Genomic DNA, 20,960 nt, shown 5'->3' on the forward strand with positions numbered 1-20,960 from the left:
CCCATTTCCCTGGATCCTTCTGTAGCATAAATTATGCTCAGCTCATCACACTCTCAGCTCTATGACACTGTGCTCCTGATTCTCTTCCTAGTCCTGGGCTGCTCATTTCTCAATCTCCTTCATGGGCTCACTTTTCTTGAGCTACCCTTTCAACATCGGTATTCCCTAGGATTCTGTTCTTGCCTCTTTTCTCATCTAAACACTGTTGTCTCCCTAAATGAGCTCACCTAATCCATGGTTTCTACTTATATGTACTTTCACCAATACCTGGATAATCTCTGTCAAGATCTCCATCCTTACTCCAGTCCATATATATGTGTAATCAACTGCCTAGGAGACAATTCTGGGTGCTCCATTTTGGTATGATCCCATTTTGACATCTCAAAATCAACATGTCTAAACAACCAGTTCTGCCCCCACATCAGCTTTTTCAGCATTCTCTATCTTCTCAAGAGGCATCTGAGGTGCCTCTTTCTTCCCTTCTGTCCCCTAACCTACCTTTAAGTCCTATTGATTCTACCACATTAAAGGTTCACTTATCTAAGACAGCAAAGTATGTAAAAGATGAAATTAATAACAAATTTTTATTAGTACTCCATTAATCGAAAGCTATATCATTTCATTTGGAAAGGGAGAACACAAGAGGTCTATCTATAATTTGGAAAAAAAATATATTCTGGAAACTAATCAATGCTTGGCAAAACAACTTTACTAATACATTTAAGATAAAAGTAAGCTACAAGTTTGGTCTTGTTCATCTGAATTATTGGTTTAGTTTTTAGAGACAGGGTCTTGCTATGTTCCCCAGGCTGGAGTGCAGTAGCTATTCATAGGCATGATCATAGTACACAACAGTCTTGAACTGCTGGGCTCAAGCAATCCTCCTACCTCAATCTCCTGAGTAGGCACACCACTGCACCCAGCTTAAAAAAAAATTTTTTTTTTTGAGACAGAGTCTCACTCTGTTGCCCAGGCTGGAATGCAGTGGTGCGATCTCCACTCACTGCAACCTCCACCTTCTGGGTTCAAGTGATTCTCCTACCTCAGCCTGCCAAGTAGCTGGGATTAGAGATACACGCCACCAGACTCGGCTAATTTTTTTTTATTTTTAGTAGAGAAGGAGTTTCGTCATGTTGGCCAGCTGGTCTTGAACTCCTGACCTCGAGAGATCTGCCTGCCTCGGCCTCCCAAAGTGCTGGGATTACAGGCGTAAGCCACCACACCCAGGCTTGAATTATTTTTAAAGGTAAAATTAATGAGCTTAGAATTTTCCTACATACACAAATGCATACTGGGAACAAAAGGAATCTCGTACAGTGTAGTGTTTGAATAACCATTCTAAGAAGGCTATCAACATCACACTAATTATCAGTTTTCAAAATATTTAGAATAGGGCTGGGTGTGGGGCTCACACCTGTAATCCCACACTTTGGGAGGCCAAGGCGGGAGGATTGCTTGAGCCCAGGAGTTTGAGACAAGCCTAAGCAACATAGCGAGTCCCCATCTCTAAAAAAAAGTAGTAATAATAGAAAAAAACAATTAGAATTAAAAACAACAAATTAAACTGGATGAAAATTTTGATACTATATATTTTTTTTCAGGATCATTATGGTCACCAACGATCATTCTGCCTTGTCAAGCTGTATTGGTCTGCAGGGAGCAGTGGCTTGTGCCTGTAATCCAAGCAACTCAGGAGGCTGAGGCAGAAGGAGCACTTGAAAGACCAGCCTGAGAAACATAGACCCCATCTCTAACAAAATTAAAAAAAAAAAAAAAATCAGCTGGGCATGGTAGCATGCACCTACAGTCTCAGCTACTCAGGAGGCTGAGGCAGGAATTTCAGGCTACAGTAAGCCATGATCATGCCACTGCTCTCCAGCCTGGGCAGTAGAACAAGACCCCAACTCTGAAAGAAAAGATTTATTGGTCACATTTAATGAAGATTTAATAATAGAAGGCTGGAAATTAGTGTTCATATACTTGAGAGTAAACTGCTTTGTGTTTCATTAATCTGTTATTTTGACAATGCCTAAAAATACCACACTTCACTTCATGTCAAAGTCACCCTCTCTATTCAACAGTTAATCATTACCTGAAAAGGTCTAAAACAGCTAATATTCACGTTTCTGAAAAATACTCCATCTAAAGGAAATTTATAAAAGGAGAAACTATGCTTTCTCAAAAAAACAAAAAAACAAAAAAAAACACAACAATTAAGGTTCCAGATACTTACTATGATGGAAATATTATAAGGCAGAGAAGCAGTGGGGGAAAAAAGAGGAGGAGGAGGAGGAGAATTGGTAAACTGTGAGTCAGAAGACCCCAAAGACATATGTAAAGACAGCTCCTGTCTGAGTACACAGCACTCTCCTCTGGGCACCCAGCCTGCTGAGAGGGATTCCTAGCAGGCAGCCTCCCACTCTGTGATCCTGGCCACAGTCACTCGTGGTCATACAGGAGTGGGAAATATGAATCAAGATGAACAGAAACTTAGCAAAGGCGAGGGAAAGAGAAACAAAGATAAAAAGAGAGAGACGTGTATTGACTGTGTATGACGGGAACTGGAACATGTCAAAGAGCAACTGTGGGCACCCACTTCTGTCTGCCATGTGGGCTGAAGATCAGAGAAAGGCAGTCAACTGAGAAAGAATAAAGCCAAAAGGAGGACAGGCAGTGCTCCTGAACGCCTCGTTCTCCCAGTTGCTAAGCCCAGTTCGATGTCTGCCCTTGGGTTCTGAGAGAACCTTACATTCTTAGAATAAATTCTTCCTCTTTACTACCTTAGGTTGATTTTTCCTACTTATAACCAAGGGTCCTAACTAATAATTTTAGAACAGAAATATCTGTAAGTTACTCAAATTTTCTTGGCCTTCTCTCTGCATCTGTAAAAACAAGAGCACTAGACATGATCTCTAAAATATTTTTAGTCCTAAAATTCTCATTCTTTTTATATGATTTTGTAAATATGCAACACACTAAATACACATGCCAGTTAAATAAACTATAGCTACTTTTAAAGTCTCAGCAACGCATTTGTGAAGTTTACCTGATCTAAACACTTTTAAAACTCATCTGCGATAGCCGAGACATATGCAGTAACTTATTTTCTACCTAAAAAGCTTAGTGCATTTATCAATAAGACTACAACTTTAGAGGAGCAGCAGTACTTTACACTTTTATGGTAAGCGTGTATTAAGTAGAAAACAGTGAAACACTCAGTGATTAAGTGACCAACATGATAGAGTCTCTAGATGGTAGTAGTAAGTAAGGGTATAGGTCTGGCGTCAGATGCCTGGGTTTGAAGCGTGGTTCTACCTCTTATTAGCTCTGTGATATTGGGGCAAGCTACTCAGCCTCTCTGTGCTCTAAAATGTAAAATCTGGACCGGACACGGTGGCTCACGCCCATAATCCCAACAGTCTGGGAGGCCGAGGTGGGCAGATCACCTGAGGTCAGGAGTTCCAGACCAGCCTGGCCAATGTGGTGGAACCCCGTCTCTACTACAAATACAAAAATTAGCCGGGCATGGTAGCTGGCACCTGTAATCCCAGCTACTTGGGAGGCTGAGGCAGGAGAATCGCTTGAACCTGGGAGGCGGAGGTTGCAGTAAGCCGAGATCGGGCCGCTGCACTCCAGCCTGGGCAACAAGAGTGAAACTCCATCTCAAATTAATTAATTAGTTAATTAATTTAAAAAGTGTAAAATCTAAAACTTTTAAATTGGGGTACTTCAGGCCAGGCACGGTGACTCACGCTTGTAATCTCAGCACTTTGGGAGGCCAAGGCGGGCAGATCATGAGGTCAGGAGATCGAGACCATCCTGGCTAACATGGTGAAACCCCGTCTCTACTAAAAAATTAGCTGGGCATGGTGGCAGGAGCCTGTAGTCCCAGCTACTTGGGAGGCTGAGGCAGGAGAATGGCGTGAACCTGGAAGGCAGAGCTTGCAGTGAGCCGAGATGGTGCCACTGCACTCCAGCCTGGGCGACAGAGCAAGACTCTGTCTCAAAAAAAAAAAAAAAAAAAAAAAAAAAAAGGGGGGGTATACTTGGCCAGGTGCAGTGGCTCATGCCTGTAATCCCAGCATATTGGGAGGCCGAGGCAAGTGGATCACTTGAGGTCAGGAGTTCGAGACCAGCTGGCCAACATGGCAAAACCCCATCTCTACTACAAATAAAAAAAAAATTGGCTAGGTGTTGTGGCTCACGCCTGTAATCCCAGCTAGTCGGGAGGTTGAGGTGGGAGAATCGCTTGAACCCAGGAGGCGGAGATTGCAGTGAGCAGAGATGGCACCACTGCACTCCAGCCTGGGCAAAAGAGTGAGATCATGTCTCAAAAAAAAAATTGGGGTACTAATATTAATAGAACCTACCTTACAGGTTGCTGCGATAATAAAGTAAGTTAATGGATGTAAAGCACTTAGTACAGTGCATGGACCTTAAGTACACTGTAACATTAAGGCTTATTATCATGCCCCTTCGTGTGGTACTACTACAGCCAAAATAGTAAGCCTGATCTAGTTAACTTTGAAGAAACCCCCCAGCCCACCTTCTGAGTATAGTTTCTCAAGACTCAGGACCCAGGTCAACTCTAACTCCACAGATGAAGACAGTAATAATGTCCACGGGTGAACTGACTTTTTATTCAAGGTCATAGAACTAGTAGCTAGAAATAAAGTTAAGACTAGATTCTAGCCTGCGCAACATATCAAAACCCCGTCTCTACAAAAATTAGCTGGGCGTGGTAGTGTGTGCCTGTAGTCTCAGCTACTTGGGAGACTGAGGCAGGAAGATTGCTTGAGCCCAGGAGGCAGAGGTTGCAGTGAGCTGAGATGGCGCCATTGTACTCCAGCCTGGGCAACAAACTAAGAGCCTGTCTCAAAAAAAAAAAAAAAAAAATTAGATTCTATTTGCAAAAAATACAAAATAGTGTGGTCGGAAAGAGCAAAACCTCTGAAATCAGAGTGCTTACTGTGTGACCTACAGAAATTTTGTTAACTTCCTATCTTGGTTTCCATCCATACATTACTAATAATCATCATCATCTTATTATCAAGTTAGGGTGGTGAATAAATGAATTAACCTAAGTGAGAACCCTCAGTCTCCCCTCTCTACCAACCCCATGCCTCCCTAGGGTTTATCATAATGCAGATTTATAACAGATCAGAGTCAGGCGCAGTGGCTCACGTCTATAATCCCACCACTTTGGGAGGCCGAGATGGGCATATCGCTTGAGCTCGGGAGTTCGAGGCCAGCATGGGCAACGTGGCAAAACCCCATCTCTACTAAAAACATAAAAATTAGTCAGACGTGGTGGTGTGTGACTGTAGTCCCAGCTACTCAGGAGGCTGAGGTCAGAGGATAAACTGAGCCCGGGAGGCCGAGGCTGCAATGAGCTATAATCCACCACTGAACTTCAGCCTGGGCAACAGAGTGAGACCATGTCCCAAAAAAAAAAAAAAAAAAAAAAAAAAATTGTGTACATAATTCTTTAACTGGTTACAGCGGCCTCATGCCTGTAATCCCAACATTTTGGGAGGCAAGGCACGAGGATCACTTGATCCAGTTCAAGACCAGCCTGGGCAATGTGGCCAGACCTCTTCCCTACAAAAAAATTTTTTTAAATAGCAGAGCTTGGTGGCGTGCTCCTGTGGCCCCAGCTACTTGGGAGGCTGAGGCAGGAAAATCGCTTGCGGTGAGGATGTCGAGGCTGCAGTGAACCACGATGAAGCCACTGCATTCCAGTCTGGGCAACAGAACAAGGCCCTGTCTCTAAAAAGAAATCTAAGTACAGAATTATATCAATTTAAGGAAGAAAACTATTATAAGAACTACTTTGCAATGGCAGAGACAGCCGCGGCAGCAGTAGCGTGCTCAACAAGAAGTGCGTAGCCCCACTCTCCCAAAAGAAAAAAACGAATCATTGTAAAACACAAAAACCTTAAATAAGAACTCTTTAAATGAGTGCTGGAGGAAAAATTTAAGAGGCTTTGAGGAAAAACATTTACTGACAAAATGTTCAATGTACAAAAATTCTGTATCCTTACTTTTCATATATAGGTTTATCAACACTTTATACATGGCCTTCAGAATTTCAAATAGTAGGTTTTTTTTTTTTCAAGAGGGAAACCAATTAGACCAAATGACAAGGCATACTTATACTACCAGGAAAGAAATACTGAAGAACGTGTCTTGTTTCATAAACTTGGTACTGACTAAATAAAAGAAAGCCTCACATTTTTGTGCCTAAGAATGATTAGTATAGGGATTCTCAAAGCATGATCTGGGGACAAGTGAATCCAGTTGTCCTAAAAGATCCCAGTCCCCACTAAAGGGGCTTCCCAATGTCAAAATTATTATCCAAATAATTTTTTTAAAGTTATTGGTCAGCCGGGCACAGTGGCTCACATCCGTGATCCTAGCACCTTGGGAGGTAGAGGTGGGCTGATCACTTGAGCTCAGGAGTTCAAAACCAGCCTGGTCAATATGGTGAAACCCTATCTCTACTAAAAAATACAAAACTTAGCCAGGGGTGATGGCATGTGCGTCTGATTCCAGCTACTCAGGAGGGTGAGGCACGAGAATTGCTTGAACCCAGGAGGCAGAGGTTGCAGTGAGCCAAGATTGCGCCACCTCCAGCCAGGGCGACAGAGCAAGACTCCTTCTCAAAATAAATACATAAATAAAGAATAGTTATTTGTCTTTTTCACTTTCATTCTGTTTTCTAGAGGTTTACACATGGTATGTGATATTGCAACAGACTGAATGCAGAAGCTGATGAGAAGCCCATTGGCTTTTATTAAGCCAGATATTAAAGAGATATGCAAAAATTTAAAACAATGCCACTCTTTTCACCAAGTTCTTAACTGTTTTAGAAAAGTTATTTTTCATAAAAAAATGTTATTTAGGTTACCATGTAATAGAATTAATTTTTATTTGTTTATTTATTTTTTGAGACAGTCTCACTCTGCACCCAGGCTGGAGTACAGTGGCATGATCTCTGCAACCTCTGCTCCGGGGTTCAAGCGATTCTCCTGCCTCAGCCTCCTGAGTAGCTGGGATTACAGGAGCCCACCACCACGCCCAGCTCATTTTTTTATTTTTAGTAGAGACGGAGTTTCACCATGTTGCCCAGGCTGGTCTCGAACTCCTGGCCTCAAGCGATCCACCCGCCTCGGCCTCTCAAAGTGCTGGGATTACAGGTGTGAGCCACCAAGCCCGGCCCCCACTAATTTTTAAGAGTACAAATAAGTACAAAGAAGTCCTGAGACCACAGGCTTGAGAACAACTGAAAGTGTAAGAGATAAGTGACAACACACACACACACACACACACGTGCACGCACAAACCTCAACCTCTTCCTACCTCTGCCCTGGAAGACTATTACTGCTATTTATATCACAGAATTTTTGAACACTTCAAACTCTCTAGTGACCAGTAAAAAAAGAAGTTTGGTGGGGGTAAAACTGGACAGGAAATTAAAGGCAAAGAAATTAAATGCTTCCTTTTCAGTTATAAGGCTGCCATTCTGATGTGAAGGCAAAATTATAGGCAATTAAAAGACATTTCAAAATTAACCTCTATGTTTGTGCCATAAGCAATAATTTATTGCTTTCACATTCCTTCCACAGCTGCTTGAAAATTCATACAAAAGCTTAAGGTATTCAATGCAAAAGCTAGATTCTCAGAGGTTGATATAATATACTTACCCTCAATGAAAAATTTAAATGATTTCATACTATCTTCATCCCCAAACTGTTCTCCTACCAAAATTGATGCCTATGCAGAAAATGCCACAGTTGCATATCGAAAAGAGAATGCAAAGGCTTACTACGGATAAAAACAGAATTAATTTCTGAGTCATAACATTTCTCACTTCTGTAACCCATAAAGTAAAAAAATGTAAATTTGACAATCTCAAAGCAGCCAACTTCTCAACATACCAATATAAAAGAAAAGACAAATTTAAAGACAGACTTTTAAGCTCTATTAGCGGTCACTTTACTCTCAATACACTACTCAAATTGAAAACTCACTTTAATATGGGAGGAGACGTTGTGTAAGTTAACTTTAATTTGTTTAATACTGGAAATTCTTTCTTGTCATCAAAATATTTTTATAACTCAGGACCAAATTGCAAATGACCATTTAACTAAGCTATTAGGAGGGCCCTGGGTCCTCCAGCCTCCAGACTGGCACCAAATTACTTCACTTTTCAGGTATGTTTAGCATTTCGTCATCCTATAATACAAGAAGCCTTATAAGAAAAAAAAAACCCTGCTTGAATGCTATTTTTCATCAGAAGACTTTAATTTAATGCTTCTCTGCTTATTCCACACTATGACTAGAAGTAGTCCAAGAGTGATGTCATGGAAAACAGCTTCCCTAGCCTTTAGAGATTGGATCCAGTGAGAATTCTAGGAAAAGCCTCTATTGGGGAATAAAACCCCAAATCTTCTAAGTTCTATTCTAACATGAAATCACAAATACTGTAATGTTAGCCTTTCAGTTCCTCATAAGAATTATACAACCAAACTAAATATTTTGGAAAGTCTTGCTGTTATGATACAGATTTCCTGCAAATCATTAGTCTATAATATATATCATTAACTAAATTCAAAGATCTTATCAGAGACAAAGGGTATTTTTTTCTATCCATTCTTACATGTTTCAGTGATTGAGCCTGATGAGCTTTAAGGGTCTTACGTTAAAAACAGAAAACCTGACAACATATTTTGTCTTTCCTAATTTCTTACTTGCAAAGTTAAAATTTCAAATTCTGAAAAGGTCTTCCACTTTTGGACCAGCAGCAATACAACATATACCCTTGGCAGAGATGAACTATGAGAGCCTTTCCAATGATTCTTAAAATGGCAATAATAATAATCTTATATTACTATCTCCCTTGGTGCCGCTGTTCCTTGAAAACCAGCTACACTCCCAACTTAAGGCCTCTCTACACCCTGTTCCCTCTGCCTGGATCACACTATCCCCAGATATATATGGTTCCCTTAGGGTCTTTGGTGTCATTTCAGTGAGGCCTTCCTCAAACACCCTCTTTTAAAGTTGCAAAACCCCATCTGCCCCATCAACCTGACAATCCCCATGCCCCTCCACTTTATTATTCTCTGCAGTATATTAAATGGCAATACAGGCTATCCATTTTACTTAGTTTCCTTTCTGCTTCAATTTGTCGGTTTTGCTTCACTGACTGTTGCATCTCCAGCACCTAAAACAGTGCTTGGCACATAATAAGTGCTTAATAAATATTTGTTGGAAAGACAGATAAATTTAATTCTCGCAACCTTCCATGTTTTGTATCCATCCCCGACTTAAAGATGAGAACATCAAAGCTCACAGAGGTTAAGTAACTTGCCCAAGGCTATAATTATTAGTAAGTTGTGAAGTTGGGGTCTGCCTGACTTCATAGCCTCCCCTATTAAACACTGTTCTACAATGCCTCACCCATGGCTCCATCTTTCATTTCTCTTCAATAAAAAAAAAAAAGCACCACATGAGCTATAGCACTCCAATTCAGAGAAAATAGATGCTAATAAAGTAATCCACCTCCTCTAAGCTAAAGATTCATTCTCCTCACAGTTAACATTATTCACTCTCAAAACATTTGCACTGGGAAAGGCCAGGCTTGACAACAGGCCACCTACATCATTTGCGGGGACTCTTGTTCAAAATCAGGGAAAAATGTTGTTAAAAGGCTGGGCGATGGCCGGGCGCGGTGGCTCATGTCTGTAATCCCAGCACTTTGGGAGACCGAGGCGGGCGGATCACTTGAAGTCAGTCGAGACCAGCCTGGCTAACATGGTGAAACCCCGTGTCTACTAAAAATACAAAAATTAGTCAAGCATGCTGACGCGCATCTGTAATCCCAGTTACTCGGGAGGCTGAGGCAGGAGAATCACTTGAACCCGGGAGGCGGAGGTTGCAGTGAGCCGAGATCGCGCCACTGCACTCCGGCCTGGGAGACAGAGCAAGACTGTGTCTCAAAAGATAAAAAAAAAAAAAAAAAAAGGCTGGGCACGGTGGCTCCCGCCTGCGCTTTGGGAAGCCAAGGCGGGTAGATCACTTGAGTCCAGGAGTTCGAGACCAGCCTGGCCAACATGGTGAAACCCCGTCTCTACTAAAAATACAAAAATTAGCCGGGCGTGGTGGCGAGCGCCTATAATCCCAGCTACTTAGTAGGCTGAGGCCCAAGAATCGCTTGAGGCCGGGAGGTGGAGGTTCCAATGAGCGGGGATCGGATCGCACCACTCCACTCCAGCCTGGGCGACAGAACAAGACTCTTGTCTTAAAAAAAAAAAAAAAGTCGTTAAAGGTAATAAAATGTAAAGCTCTTTCAAAACTTTCTTCTGTATCTCTCAACTGTTTCGCGGTTTTTTTTTTTTTTGAGACGGAGTTTTGCTCTCGTCGCCCAGGCTGGAGTGCAGTGCCGCCATCTTGGATTACCGCAACTTCTGCCTACCGGGTTCAAGCGATTCTCCCGCCTCAGCCTCCCGAGTAGCTGGGAATAGAGTAGCTGGGATTACAGGCGCCCGCCACCACGCCAGGCTAACTTTGTGTTTTTAGTAGAGACGGGGTTTCTCCACGTTGGTTAGGCTGGTCTCAAACTCCCGACCCTCAGGTGATCCGCCCGCCTCGGCCTCCCAAAGTGCTGGGATTACAGGCCTGAGCCACCGCTCCCGGCTCTCAGTGTTTTTTAAATTTGATGTTTAATGTCGTTCTGAGTAAAGGAAAATTAAAAATTTAAATTAGCATGAATTTTACCATTCACCCTTATACTGTACAATCCCAGTTTTACATGCAGATTATTAAACCAAGTGTGGGGCCCTTCTGAACATCCATGAAGCCAAGCCTGCCCTGATCAAGGTTAGGTTTCTGAGATAACCCGACTCGAGGTAGAGAGAAGGTCAAACCTTGAAATCCCCAATAAAGCAATGATTTGTCAAAATTTTATCAAGATTAGTGATAAATCCAATCTATAAAACCAGCCACTTTGAAGTAGGCTCTTCCTTTTACTATGTAAATCCTGCCCAACTTCTATTATTTTGCCTTTTTACAAAACACAAAAGCATACTCTGAAAGACAACTGGTATTGGACTAGAGGATTATAAATTTAATAAAACATCTAACTACTCAAAACCATTTGTTAGCTAAAAATAACAATATACCCAAAAATGCTTCTCTTTTCACTTTTTGTGGACCATTTAAGCCAAACCATACTATATTTTTGATATGCCAAGTAAAAATGATCAATACTAATCTGTTACACATATAAATCCTGGCAAAATAAATTCAATTTTCAAACCACAAATATTTACTATCCTATTCTTTCCCCAAATTAATCAGCAATGAAGAGTGCAAGTTAACATCCTCTACCACTGATAAACTGTGACTCTAAGCACCTACTACGTGTTGTGATTAAAAATGAGAATAAAATTATATAATTACATTAAGTGCTAAAAAGTTGAAATGTTCTATACATTTCTAGATCTATTAAGGATTACTGAAACATGAATGCATTGATAAGCTCTTCAAAACCAATTTTCAAATTAGTAGAAGTATTCAAGCATCCTGCTCCCTAGATATGAAAAACAGGCATTAAAATTAGGGCATATATGTCTGCAAAGCATTTTCTAAATTACCACTTAATCAGATTAACAAAGGCAAACAAATTCGGAAAACAGAAAAGACTAACAAATGTAAGGTGTTAAATATTTGGAGTAAGAAAAGGGGCCTAAAGCGGCCTAGAACGATGAAAAGCAAAGCCCCTACGGTAACGTTACATTTGAATTAAAGAATACCGTTATTTAAATAAGCAGTTAGCACTTCGTAGGAGGAAGGCCAAGCAACGTGACTATTACAGATCTATGGATTCACAGCACTGCTTTACTATTATTCCGTACTTATTTGCTTATATTTATAATATAGAAATAAAGAGGCAGCAACAGTTAGCCACTACATTAACCACTCTACCAAAGGTTACTTAAAAAACGGCCTTGCATTCTTACAACACTCTACAGTTAAGGATTATTTTCACATATATGACCTCATATAGTCCTCTCAACCCTGCGATGTTGGTAGTACCGACTATATTTCATAGATAAGAAACCAAGGCTCGGTACGCGATTTTTTCTCAGAGTCACCCAAGTCGAACCCAGACCTTCCGATTCCTAGTTTTATGCCTCGCATTTTGCATAGTTCTATTTCAGGCATAAATTGAATTGTTAAAGGGAAGGAACGGGTTAGGCAAAAAATAATCATGGTACCTGCAGCTGTGTGCTGCAAAAAATGGCTGAATTATGCTTCTTCCTTTTTCTTTCTCGCTCTCTCTGGAAAAAAAAATTACATTTCAAACAATTTAAGTAAACTCGAAGACAAACGAGGTCCCGGCGTCTACCAAATGTTTGACTCGGGTCCGTGCAGAGAGGGCCGGCGAATTCGTGCCTAGCTCGGGGCCGCGGGCGAAGCCCGGGCTCCGCAGGCCGGCGGCCAGGGGCGGCTACGTACCTCGGGGGGTCCTGTCCAGCCTCTAGTGGACGGCAGTCTGCATCAGGAAGAACCGGGCCAGCGGGCCGATGGGTGGGCGGTCGGGCGCCGGGACGGCACTCGGCAGGCTCCTCGGACGTCTACGAGCAGCCGCTCCCGGCACGAGCCGGGTCGCTCCGGCGGGGCACGAGAGTGCTCGCCTGCAGCCCCCTCTGGATAAGTCCTGGGAAAGAAGACAGCGCTGAGTCGAGAAACCAGACAGTCGGGCTCCGCACGAGGCGGCGCGGCGTCGGGGCCCGGACCGACCTTGCCAACGCCGGGGGCCTCGCAGCACCCGACGGGGCTCGGCGGGAGGGCCGACTGGGGCCGCGGGCGGGGAAAAGGGCTGGGGGGCAGCAGGCAGAGACAGAAGCACCAGCCGAGGAAGCGTCGAGGACGGCGTCTCTGGGCTTCTGCCCCGAAGCGCGCCGAGCCTCGGGATCACCCACGCCGGGGGTGGAGGAAGGCGGGAAAGGGGCGGGGAAGGGGCGGGGCGTGCGGGGCCACGAGCCGGGGGCCGCTCCGGGCCGCGCGCCCCCTGCGGGCCGCGGGAGCCGCCCGGGGCCCGCCCAGGGAGGCGGGGCTGGCCGGCAGGGGGCCCAGTGCGCTGTCGTCTTGACGCGGAAGGCCGCCACGCTGGGAGAGAGGGCGGAGGGTGGGAAGCCGTTGGGGGCGGGGAGCTGGCCCGGGAGGCCCCCCCCTCGGCCCCTGCTGGCGCCCCGAGGGGGCCAGCCCGTGGCCTGGCGGGTGTTTACCTTCCCCCTGGTCGAGCGCCAATGCCGCCATCTTTCAGCCCAAAACGCGTCACTTCCGGCGCCACGGGAGCGGGAGCGGGTGTGGGAACGGGGGGGAAGGGGGGGCGGGGAAGGCTGTCCCGCGCCCGCGGCGCCCCGCGTCCCGGCTGCCGGCCCGCCACGCCAGCGGTTTCCCACCGAGGAAAACAGGCGGCCGGGCGTCGCGGCCCTGGACTGGGCCCGACGCAGCTTCCCCCGCGGCGCCGCCGTCGGGGCTGAGGACACTCAGCTGTCCTCGTCCCCTTGCAGCGGTCTCTCTCCGCCTGCACGAGCGATGGGCCCTGAGCCACTGCGGTGCGCCCACCCTCGACAAGTTGAGGGCTAGGAAGCCAGGAAAGTGTCTTTTTGCATCTTGGCCACGGTGGGGGTGGGGGAATCGGGGACAACGTGGAGGGAGCTTTTCCATAGCTACCTGTTATAAAAGTGACTAGATCTGCGCCAAATGACATCATTTTTTGTAAGGCAACTTGCAGTGGACTATTGCGTCACTGTCCACTTGGCTTACTGCACAACAATTACACGTTTCAGAAATCGATTTCCCAAGGGTGGGAAAATTCATAAAAAATTGCATGTCTGCACCACCCGGAGATAATGCCGGATTTAAAAAAGCTGTCTCTACTTGCGTCAAAATAATCAAGAACGAACATTCAGAGGGCAGTGATTTTTGTTGTTCGTTTTTTATAGAATTCTAGCTAGTACTTTTTAAATATTACCTTTTCTTGACAAGAATATAAAACTAGACTATAGGACTGTTTTGTAAATTTATTATGGCATCTCTTTCTGGGAAAAGTGTAGATGACGGAAATACACAGTTGGAAGCCCGTGGATCTACAATTAACCTTAAATTAGGGCATCCATTGCCCATAGCAGATCCTAAACTGAGGTATTTCGGCTTCCCCCACCCCCACCCCCCGCCGCCATTTTCTCTCTAGACCAATATCCCGATGAACTTTCCGTGAGAGGTGTCGCTAAAAGCGATAATTATCTCTTTCTAGCAAACTTGAACATACCATCTTTCCCAAGAGGCCAAAATAGCACACGGTGTACTGTTTTGCTGAAGTAGACTACTTCGTGGGAGAGATAACACAATCACTTCAATCTTTTGGAAATACGCTTCCTTATTCCGATTTAAACTATAACAAGCTTTAAAAAAACTGTAAGACACTGAAATTCCCAAGTTGTTCACACTTTCTTTCCATCTTTTCCAATAGCTCCTTTAAGATATTTCTGTTCATTATTTAAAAATCCCTGCTTGCCATATTTGTATCTATTACTACATGACAAATTACCCCAGAATTTCACATTAAAACAAATTTTTAAAATTAAATCATAAAATAAACTTTAAAAATGCATACATTCCACTTCTGAATATTTAAATGTTCATGCATTATTCCCGAACATCTAAACGCTGAGTTTGGATTTTTGTACATTAACTAACATTTTAAGCTATACATTACTATGTGGCACTGACCTGTCTAAAGAGAGGCTTCTGTTCTTGATTCAAGCAAGAGTTGAAACGTTTCTGCGCTCTTTGTACCAGGTATAAATGTAGTGAGTGTATGTCATAAGCCATTGTGTGATCACCGTGCTTCCCGTCCCTCCTTATTTTGACATTGCAAGGTCTCGTGGAATTTCAAATGTGCTTTTTTGGATATTTATGTAGTTTTAAAACTGGGCTGTGTCTTTCAATCAATCTATACGTTTACTATATGAACCCCTCCCCAAGTTATCTTCAATCAATGATGCCTCTTTCACTCTTATTTCTTATTTTTATGTTATTATTATTATTTTTTTTTTGAGACAGTCTCACTCTCGGCCAGGCTGGAGGGCAGAGGCATGATCTCAGCTCACTGCAGCCTTGACCTCCCGGGCTCAAGCAATCCTTCCACCTCAGCCTCCCGAATAGCTAGGACCACAGACGTGCCCCACCATGCTCGGCTAACTTTTCTTTTCTTGTTTTTGTTTGTTTGTTTGTTTTGTTTTTGTTTGCTTGTTTTTTTCTGAGATGGAGTCTGTCGCTCAGGCTGGGGTGCAGTGGATCTCGGCTGACTGCAACCTCCGCCTCCCGGGTTCAAGCGATTATCCTGCCTCAGCCTCCCGAGTAGCTGGGATTACAGGCGCTCGCCACCGTGCCCAGCTAACTTTTGTATTTTTAGTAGAGACGGGGTTTCACTGTGTTGGCTAGGCTGGTCTCAAACCCCCGACCTCATGATCGCCCGCCTTGGCCTCCCAAAGTGCTGGGATTACAAGCGTGAGCCACTGCACTCCAGCTCAGGCAACAGAGCAAAAACACCGTCTCAAAAAAAAAAAAGAAAAGAAAATATATTTTAACTTTCCCCACCAATTTCTGGACTGTAATGGGAGTTGTTAAATACCTTGAGAGTATCCTTTCACACTGGTAGAGTCCCACAGAGGTAGATGGAAGCTGTCTTTTCTTAGCCCTCTAGCCTAAGTATTTGAGAATACACATTCCTCAATAGCTATTTATTTAGCAGCTAGCGAGGTCGGAAGCATGCTAGAAGCCTGGGCCTGGGAGTGCTGGTGGAGTTGGAATGAGGTTCTTCCCCAGGGGTTCTGAGGATTTAGGATACTGCATACCCTCCTCCTCCCTCCTGTTTTTGCTTTTTAAGAAATTGAGGCCAGGCGTGGTGGCTCACGCCTGTAATTCCAGCACTTTGGGAGGCCGAGGCGGAAGGATCATTAGAGGTCAGGAGTTGGAAACCAGCCTGACGAACATAGTGAAACCCCGTCTCTATTAAAAATACAAAAAATTAGCTGGCATGGTGGTGCGGGCCTGCGGTCCCAGCTACTCAGGAGGCTGAGGTAGGAGTATGGCTTGAGCCCAGGAGGCAGAGGTTGCAGTGAGTCGAGATTGCACCACTGCACTCCAGCCTGGACAACGGAACTAGACGCTGTCTCAAAAAAAAAAAAAAGAAAAGAAAAGTTGAGGCTTTTCAGAAATTCCCAGTCTGTGGTAGTTGTCTTGGTAATCACTTTTCTTTTTACTTTTTTTTTTTTTCTTTTTTTTGAGACAGAGTCTCCCTCTATCATCCAGGCTGGAGTGCAGTGGCGTGATTGGCTCACTGCAACCTCTGCCTCCCAGGTTCAAGTGATTCTCCTGCCTCAGCCTCCCAAGTAGCTGGGACTACAGGCACACACCACCACGCCCAGCTAAATTTTGTAACTTTAGTAGAGATGGGTTTTCCCATGTTGGCCAGGCTGGTCTCGAACTCCTGACCTCTAGTAATCCATCCACCTCAGCCTCCCAAAGTGTTGGGATTACAGGCGTGATCAACCGCACCCAGCCACCCCATGATCTTTCCACTGTACCATGTAATTATATTAACATAGTAAATGATCTTCACATAGTTGTATTTTTATTCCTACTTAATTCCACAAATTGTTGGTTTGCAATCTACTATACTATTTATTTATTCATTCCATAAGTATGTGTAAGTGCCTAGTACATGCCAAGTCTTGTTCTACCCACTGGGGATCCATCAGTGAATAAAACATATGAAAACTCTAGCCCTTGTACGGATTACATGTGTCAGGTAATAAAATAAATAAGCAAATTATGTGGCCTGTTAGAATGTGGTAAATGTGGCCGGGTGCGGTGGCTCACGCCTGTAATCCCAGCACTTTGAGAGGCTGAGGTGGGTGGATTACTTGAGGTCAGGAGTTCGAGACCAGCCTGGCCAACACGGGAAACCCCATCTCTACTAAAAATACGAAGAAATTAGCCAGGCGTGGTGGCACATGCCTGTAATCCCAGCTATTTGGGAGGTTGAAGCAGGAGAAGTGCTTGAACCCGGGAGACTGGGCGAAAGAGGGAGACTCTGCCTCAAAAAAAATATATATTATTTTCATAGAAGTTTTAATGACTTATGAAATTGTTTCTAATATAATCTTATGTGAAAATGCAGGACAAAAAAAAACTATAATTGCACTGATCACAGTAACACTGAACCCTCAGAGGTAGTTTTCTGTTGACTCCTTATTTTCCTGAGTATGGGTCACACTTTGCTGTTTCTTTGTACATCCTGTTTCTTTTAGATAATATGTTGTAGCAACTCTGGACTCTGTATTAACCCACTCCCAATCCAGGTGGTGGTAGAGTTTGCTATTTTTAGATTTGTTGTTTGTGTGGTGGTCAGCCTGGACTAATTCTGTGGCGTCTATTCCCCAAATCGGGATGTGATAAATGCTATGGAAAATAACAGAGCTGGGGAAGGGTGTTCCAGTTTTAACTGGGATGATCAAAGTAGGAGGTATCATTTGAGCCTTGCCTTCAATGAAATTAGGGACCAGAGTGTATAAAACCTGGTAGGCAATTGTAAGGTCTTTGGCCTGTGAGAAATTGGGAACCACTGGAAGCTTTGGTGAAGAGGACCAATATGATTTGACACTCAGGCTGCTATGTAAGTAACAGAATTTAGGTGGACTAGGGCAGAAGCAGGGAGATGGGTTAGGAGACTATTCCGATAATGGAATGGAATGGAATGGAATGGAATGGAGGCTACAGTGGAGATGGTGAGAAGTGCTTAGACTTTGCAAATATTCTGGAGGAAGAGCCAACAGGATTTCCTGGAGGTAGGGATAAAGGAAAAGAGAGGAGTCATGGATAACATCAAGGTTTTCTGTCCTGAGCAACTGGAAGGATGGAATTGTCATTTCCTGACATCGCAAAGACCTCAGGAGGATCAGTTTTGAAGGGAGTGGGGAGGAAGGAAAAGCTGCAAGGACTGGGCCCAGAGGTGTGCCTGGGCCAGGGAGCCATCCTGGAGAACAGAGGGAACTGGTTCCAGGAGATCAGACAAGAGTGTGGAATGCTACAAGCTAGAGAGAAAGTTACTGGAAGTTGCTAAACATTCACTATCAATAAAAGATGCAATGAATATTGCCATTTTAATGGAATATATTTACCTTGAAACATGGTGTAGACAATGCCCCCTTGTAGATGAAAACCTTAAAAAGAAAGTTATCATCTTTGTGCTCCTTATGAACCAATGAAAAATAACATTATGCTTCAGCTTCAGTTATGAGATTATCAAGGGGCTGAGTGTACAGCGAGGACTGGGCTTTGTGGCGCAGCAATGTGAGGGAGTCATCCGGGAGAAGATACAGGACTGTCAAGGAGACAGAGAAGGAGTAGCCAGTGAGATAAGAGTAAGACAAAGAGTGTGCTATGCTAAGCCAGATAGAAAAGTACTGTAATTGCTAAACATCCACTATCAATGAAAGATGAAACGAATGTCACCATTTTAACTAAATCTATTTACTGTGAAATGCAACGTAGACAGTGCCTCTTAGTAAATGAAAATGTTAAAAGGAGTAACATACCCCCTTTCCCAAAATTAATCATTAAAAAAAAGTTTTTTTAAGAGATGAGGTATCCCTCTGTAGCCCAGGTTGGAGTGCAATGGTGCGATCATAGTGATCATAGCTTACTGCAGCTTCGAACTCCTGAGCTCGAGGGATCCTCCTGTCTCAGTCTCCTGAGTAGCTCAAAATACAGGCTTGAGCCACTGTGCCCAGCAAAATTAATCACTTTTAAGTTCTTTATGAACCAATGAAAAATAACACTATACTTAGAAGCCTCAAGATACGAGCCACATATTTGTTTTTTTTTTTTTTTTGAGATGGAGTGTCGCTCTTGTTGCCCAGGCTGGAGTGCAATGGTGTAGTCTTGGCTCACTGCAACCTCCGCCTCCTGGGTTCAAGCGATTCTCTTGCCTCAGCCTCCCAAGTAGCTGGGATTACAGGCACCCACCACCACGCCCGGCTTATTTTTTGCATTTTTAGTAGAGACAGGGTTTCACCAGGTTGGCCAAGCTGGTCTCGAACTCCTGACCTCAGGTGATCCGCCCGCCTTGGCTTCCCAAACTGCTGGGATTACAGGCGTGAGCCACCGCACCCAGCCCAAGCTACATATTCTTAAGTACTGCATTTCAGTAGATGTGTACCCAAACATGCACACATTCTAAGTGTGAGTGCCAGAGTTGAGGTGAGTAGCAGGAATAAAGAGCTGCTACATGGTGTTGTATGACTAAAGAAGTGGAAAAAGAAAGAAAAAAAAACCTCCAGTAACTACTGTTGCCAGCAGCACAACTTCAGGGTTTGGGGACTGTGGTTAAGGATAGAGACAAGATTGAATGTAGGCTCTGAGGTTATTTATTGATTCTAAAACTAAGTTCTTAAAAAATGCAGTGATGGCCGGGTGCGGTGGCTGACGCCTGTAATCCCAGCAGTTTGGGAGGCCGAAGCAGGCGGATCATGAGGTCAGCAGTTCAAGACCAGCCTGGTCAACATGGTGAAACCCCGTCTCTATTAAAAATACAAAAATTAGCCAGGTGTGGTGGCGGGCACCAGTAAACCCAGCTACTCAGGAGGCTGAGGCAGGAGAATCGCTTGAACACGCAAGGCAGAGGTTGCAGTGAGCTGAGATCATGCCATTGCACTTCACCCTGGGCGACAGAGCGACACTCCATCTAAAAAAAAAAACAAAAAACAAAAAACGCGGTGGCTGACGCTTGTAATCCCAGCACTTTGGGAGGCAGAGGCGGGCGGATCACTTGAGGTCAGGAGTTCAAGACTAGCCTGGCGAACATGGTGAAACCCCGTTTCTACTAAAATTACAAAAAAATTGGCCAGGCGTGGTGGCAGGCACCTGTAATCCCAGCTACTCGGGAGGCTGAGGCAGGAGAATTGCTTGAACCCAGGAAGCGGAGGTTGCGGTGAATCGAGATCACACCATTGCACTCCAGCCTGGGCGACAGAGCAAGACTCCGTCTCAAAAAAAATTTAAATTAAAATTAAAAAAACTAAAAAACAGGCTGGGTGCAGTGGCTCACACTTGTAATCCTAGCACTTTGGGAGGCCGAGGGGGGCGAATGGCTTGAGCCTAGGAGTTTGAGACAAGCCTGGCAACATGGGGAGACCCCATCTCTACAAGAAATACAAAAATTAGCCGAGCGTGGTGCTGTGAACTTGTGGTTCCAGCTACCCAGGAGGCTGAAGTGGGAGGATTGCTTGAGCCCGGGAGGTCAAGGCTGCAGTGAGCCGTGATTGCACCACTGTACTCCAGCCTAGGTGACAGAGTGAGACTCGGTCTCAAAAAACAAAACAAAACAAAACAAATAAATAACCTAGTGATCACAAAACTATCTCTAAGACAGAATTTCTTTCTAGATACAGGGCAGAGAGGGACTTTAGGTAAGTCAATTCTGGCCTCCTCAGCTTTGTGTGTGGGTAGTGGAAGAGAAAGCAGGGGTATAGTTTCACACATAGATGTCTGGGCATAGGCCTGGACAAAAGGAGGGGTGAATTTCATGCTGTCTTAGGGACTTGGAAGAAGAGGCAGCACTGTCTTGGTGAGGGAGGTGAGAATGTTAAGCGTAGGTGAGGCAGGATAGTCCTCTGGGATTGGAGGTTTTTTTTTTTTTTTGAGACCGAGTCTCTGTTTCCCAGGCTGGAGTGCAATGGCGCGATCTCAGCTCACTGCAAGCTCCGCCTCCCGGGTTCACACCATTCTCCTGCCTCAGCCTCCCGAGTAGCTGGCTGGGACTACAGGTGCCCGCCACCGCGCCCGACTAATTTTTTTTTTTTTTTGTATTTTTAGTAGAG

The 20,960-nt window shown here is 44.3% G+C and overlaps 1 protein-coding gene across 1 annotated transcript in view, besides 10 other annotated features; it reads right to left on the reverse strand.

Annotated features, from left to right (window-relative positions):
- The window catches only part of KLHL15 (kelch like family member 15), a 43,467-nt gene extending 28,615 nt beyond the window's left edge, over nucleotides 1-14,852 (reverse strand). Inside the window, exons 1-2 of the mRNA NM_030624.3 lie at nucleotides 14,806-14,852; nucleotides 12,523-12,724 (exon numbers count right to left, since the gene is read on the reverse strand). The gene's annotated coding sequence lies outside the window, so the exon portion shown is untranslated. The remainder of the gene's footprint in view (nucleotides 1-12,522; nucleotides 12,725-14,805) is intronic.
- Nucleotides 2,344-2,473: an enhancer, noted in NCBI's record as "active region_29495". NCBI's record gives its function as "activates an Ori minimal core promoter by ATAC-STARR-seq in GM12878 lymphoblastoid cells {active_cell/tissue: GM12878}" and the evidence as "EXISTENCE:reporter gene assay evidence [ECO:0000049][PMID:35858748]".
- Nucleotides 12,604-12,683: a silencer, noted in NCBI's record as "silent region_20708". NCBI's record gives its function as "represses an Ori minimal core promoter by ATAC-STARR-seq in GM12878 lymphoblastoid cells {active_cell/tissue: GM12878}" and the evidence as "EXISTENCE:reporter gene assay evidence [ECO:0000049][PMID:35858748]".
- Nucleotides 12,694-12,843: a silencer, noted in NCBI's record as "silent region_20709". NCBI's record gives its function as "represses an Ori minimal core promoter by ATAC-STARR-seq in GM12878 lymphoblastoid cells {active_cell/tissue: GM12878}" and the evidence as "EXISTENCE:reporter gene assay evidence [ECO:0000049][PMID:35858748]".
- Nucleotides 12,854-12,923: a silencer, noted in NCBI's record as "silent region_20710". NCBI's record gives its function as "represses an Ori minimal core promoter by ATAC-STARR-seq in GM12878 lymphoblastoid cells {active_cell/tissue: GM12878}" and the evidence as "EXISTENCE:reporter gene assay evidence [ECO:0000049][PMID:35858748]".
- Nucleotides 13,004-13,443: a silencer, noted in NCBI's record as "silent region_20711". NCBI's record gives its function as "represses an Ori minimal core promoter by ATAC-STARR-seq in GM12878 lymphoblastoid cells {active_cell/tissue: GM12878}" and the evidence as "EXISTENCE:reporter gene assay evidence [ECO:0000049][PMID:35858748]".
- Nucleotides 13,004-13,720: a biological region, named in NCBI's record as "NANOG-H3K27ac-H3K4me1 hESC enhancer GRCh37_chrX:24043667-24044171".
- Nucleotides 13,216-13,720: an enhancer, noted in NCBI's record as "NANOG-H3K27ac-H3K4me1 hESC enhancer chrX:24043667-24044171 (GRCh37/hg19 assembly coordinates)". NCBI's record gives its function as "activates a minimal SCP1, AML or CMV promoter by ChIP-STARR-seq in primed H9 embryonic stem cells {active_cell/tissue: H9 hESC(primed)}" and the evidence as "EXISTENCE:reporter gene assay evidence [ECO:0000049][PMID:30033119]".
- Nucleotides 13,454-13,553: a silencer, noted in NCBI's record as "silent region_20712". NCBI's record gives its function as "represses an Ori minimal core promoter by ATAC-STARR-seq in GM12878 lymphoblastoid cells {active_cell/tissue: GM12878}" and the evidence as "EXISTENCE:reporter gene assay evidence [ECO:0000049][PMID:35858748]".
- Nucleotides 13,721-14,224: an enhancer, noted in NCBI's record as "NANOG-H3K27ac-H3K4me1 hESC enhancer chrX:24044172-24044675 (GRCh37/hg19 assembly coordinates)". NCBI's record gives its function as "activates a minimal SCP1, AML or CMV promoter by ChIP-STARR-seq in primed H9 embryonic stem cells {active_cell/tissue: H9 hESC(primed)}" and the evidence as "EXISTENCE:reporter gene assay evidence [ECO:0000049][PMID:30033119]".
- Nucleotides 15,432-15,931: an enhancer, noted in NCBI's record as "H3K4me1 hESC enhancer chrX:24045883-24046382 (GRCh37/hg19 assembly coordinates)". NCBI's record gives its function as "activates a minimal SCP1, AML or CMV promoter by ChIP-STARR-seq in naive H9 embryonic stem cells {active_cell/tissue: H9 hESC(naive)}" and the evidence as "EXISTENCE:reporter gene assay evidence [ECO:0000049][PMID:30033119]".

Source organism: Homo sapiens, chromosome X (assembly GCF_000001405.40).
Source record: "Homo sapiens chromosome X, GRCh38.p14 Primary Assembly".
Lineage (NCBI taxonomy): Eukaryota > Metazoa > Chordata > Mammalia > Primates > Hominidae > Homo > Homo sapiens.